Genomic DNA, 3,882 nt, shown 5'->3' on the forward strand with positions numbered 1-3,882 from the left:
GAACAGCATGGGAGGACTGCCCCCATGATCTAATCCACTCCCTCGAGGTCCCTTTTCCAACACATGGGGATTACAATTCAAGATGAGATTTTGGTGGGGCACAGAGTCAGGCTGTATTATTTAACCCCTAGCCCCTCCCAAATCTCATCTTTCTCACATTTCAAAACACAATTTTGCCTTCCCAACAGTTCCCCAAAGTCTTAACTCGTTTCAGCATTAACCTAAAAGTCCAAGTTTATAGTCTCATCTGAGACAAGGCAAGTCCCTTCCACCTATGAGCCTGTAAAATCAAAAGCATATTAGTTACCTCCTAGGTATGATGGAGGTACAGGCATTGGGTAAATACACCCATTCCAAATGGGAGAAATTGTCCAAAATGAAGAGGTCACAGGCCCCATGCAAGTCCAAAATCCGATAAGGCAGTAATTAAATCTGACAGCTCTGATATAATCTCACTTTACTCCATGCCTCACATCCAGGTCACAACGACAAAAGAGGTGCCCACAGCCTTGAGCAGCTCTTACCCTGTGGATTTGCAGGGTACAGCCCCCACTGCTGGCTGCTTTCACCAGCTGGTGTTGAGTGCCTGCAGCTTTTCCAGGTGCATGGTGCAAGCTGTTGGTGGACCTACCATTCTGGAGTCTGGAAGATGATGGCTGTCTTCACACACCTCCACTAGGCAGTGCCCCAGTGGAGACTCTGTGTGGGGGATCCAACCCCACATTTCCCTTCCTCACTGCCCTAGCAGAGGTTCTGCCTGAGGGCTCCGCCCCTGCAGCAAACTTCTGCCTGGACATCCAGGTATTTCCATACATCCTCTGAAATCTGGGCAGAGGTTCCCAAACCTCAATTCTTAACTTCTGTGCACCCACATGCTCAACACCATGTGGAAGCTGCCCAGGCTTGGGGCTTGAACCCTCTGAAGCCACAGCCCAAGCTATACCTTGACCCCTTTTAGCCGTGGCTAAAGCTGAAGCAGCTGGGATGCAGGGAACAAAGTCCCAAGGCTGCACACAGCAGGGGGGCCCTAGGCCTGGCCCCCAAAACCATTTCTCCCCCCTAGGCATCTGGGCCTGTGATGAGAGGAGCTGCCATGAAGGTCTCTGACACACCATGGAGACATTTTCCTCATTGTCTTGGTGATTAACATTTGGCTTCTCATTACTTATGCAAACATCTGCAGCCAGCTTGAATTTCTCCCCAGAAAAATGAGAGTTTTTTTCTATTGCATCATGAGGCTGCAAATTTTCCAAACTTCTATTCCCTGGTTCCTCTGGAATGCTTTGCCACTTAGAAATTTCTTCTGCCAGGTATCCTAAATCATCTCTCTCAAGTTCAAAGTTCCACAGATCTCTAGGGCAGGAGCAAAATGCTGCTAGTCTCTTTGCTAAAGCATAGCAAGAATCACCTTTATTCCAGTTCCCAACAAGTTTCTCATCTCCAACTGAGGCCACCTCAGCCTGAACTTCATTGCCCATATCACTATCAGCAGTTTGGACAAAGCCATTCAACAAGTATCTAGGAAGTTCCAAACTTTCCCACATATTTCTGTCTTCTGAGCTCTCCAAATCTCTAGGAAGTTCCAAACTTTCCCACATTTTCCTGACTTCTTCTGAGTCCTCCAAACTGTTCCAACCCCTGCCTGTTACCCAGTTCCAAGTTTTCTTCCACATTTTCAGGTATGTTTATAGCAGCAACCCACTATTCAACTACTGCTTTACTGTATTAGTCTGTTCTCATGCTGCTATGAAGAAATACCTGAGACTGGGTAATTTAGAAAGAAAAGAGGTTTAATTGACCTACAGTTCTGCATGGTGTGGGAGGCCTCAGGAAACTTACAATCATGGCAAAAGAGGAAGAAAACACATCCTTCTTCACAAGGCAGCAGGAGACAGAAGTGCCAAGCAAAGGGGGAAAAACCCTTTATGAAACCATTCCATTTTGTGAGAACTCATTCACTATCATGAGAACAGCATGGGGGGACCACCCTCATGATCTAATAAGCTCCCCTGGGGTCCCTCCCCCAACACATGGGAATTACAATTCAAGGTGAAACTTGAGTGAGGACACGGAGCCAGACCATATCAGCATGGAATATTTTTTTCCACCCCTCTACTTTGAGTTTATATGAATCCTTACATGTTAGGTGAGTCTCTTGAAGACAGCAGATATTCGGTTTCTGAATTTTTATCCATTTTGCCAATCTGTATCTTTTAAGTGGAGCATTTAGTCCACTTACATTCAAATCAATATTGATATGTGAGGGGCTGTTCCAGTCATTATGTTAATTGTTACCTGGATACTTTGTTTTCTTCATTGTGTTATTGTTTTATAGGGTCTGTGATTTTTATGCTTTCAAGAGGTTCTATTCTGATGTATATTGACTTTTGTTTCAGGATTTAGACCTCCTTTTAGCATTTCTTGTAGGGCTGGGCTGGTAGTGACAAATTCCCTTGGCACTTGTTTGTCTGAAAATGACTTTGTTTCTCCCTCATTTATGAAGCTTAGTTTTGCTGGACACAAAATTCTTAGCTGACAGTTATTCTGCTTAAGGAGGCTAACGATAGGACCCTATTCTCTTCTGGCTTGTAAGGTTTCTGGTGAGAAGATTGCTGTTAGTCTGATAGGTTTTCCTTTATAGTTTACCTGGTGCTTTTTTCTCACTGTTCTCAGAATTCTTTTCTTCATATTGACTTTAGATAGACTGATGGCTATCTGTTTTGGTGAAATCCTTTTGTGATGAATCTCCCAGGAGTTCTTTGAGCTTTTTGTATTTGGATATCTAAATCCCTAACTGCTGAGACCAGCTTGGTTGGGGAGACCCTAACCCAGTGGCACTAGAGAAATTAAAGACACACACACAGAAATATAGAGGTGTGAAGTGGGAAATCAGGGGTCTCACTGCCTTCAGAGCTGACAGCCTCGAACAGAGATTTACCCAAGTATTTATTAACAGCAAGCCAGTCATTAGCATTGTTTCTATAGATATTAAATTAACTAAAAGTATCCCTTATGGGAAACGAAGGGATGGGCCGAATTAAAGGAATAGGTTAGGCTAGTTAACTGCAGTAGGGGCATGTCCTTAAGGCACAGATCACTCATACTATTGTTTGTGGCTTAAGAATGCCTTTAAGTGGTTTTCCGCCCTGGGCAGGCCAGGTGTTCCTTGCCCTCATTCCAGTACACCCACAACCTTCCAGTGTGGGCATTATGGCCATCATGAACATGTCACAGTGCTGCAGATATTTTGTTTATGGCCAGTTTTGGGGCCAGTTTATGGCCAGATTTTGGGGGCTTGTTCCCAACTTGTCCCCCTTGTTTGATTTGCAAAGTGATAAAAGCAAGGGCAGCTTTGTCATTGTGAGCTCGTGGGAGTCAGGATCCACATCTGCAGACTATACAAAGACAAACAACACAGATTAAAAACACAATTATCACTGAAATCATAGAGCTTCCAAGGGTTTTTTTTATCCATTTTAATGGGTTACTAGCTGTTAATCTGTCTGCAGCTCCTTTAAGCACTCCAGTTCTTGGCATTAAGGTCAGGTGTGCCTGGGATGCTTTAAATATTTGTTCTTTTAATTTTCCTATATCCAAAAAAGTCTGTAGAGTGTCTTTCTAGATGCTTGTTTATTCTTTTCCAAATTTTGATCTTATTAAGAACTATTAATAGTTTCCACAAATCCTTATGTTAAGCTCCTACAACGAGCCATATCATTTGAGGTTGAGGTGCCACTATACCGCCATGGTTCCAGATAATAGGAATGTTTGTCATACTTTTTATCATTTCTACCATCTGACCATTTTGTTCAGACCATCTGAACATAGTGTGGCCATGGCACACAGACTGAGAAGAGCAATTTAAGCTAAACATCCCCTTAG

Source organism: Homo sapiens, chromosome 9 (assembly GCF_000001405.40).
Source record: "Homo sapiens chromosome 9, GRCh38.p14 Primary Assembly".
Taxonomy (NCBI): domain Eukaryota; kingdom Metazoa; phylum Chordata; class Mammalia; order Primates; family Hominidae; genus Homo; species Homo sapiens.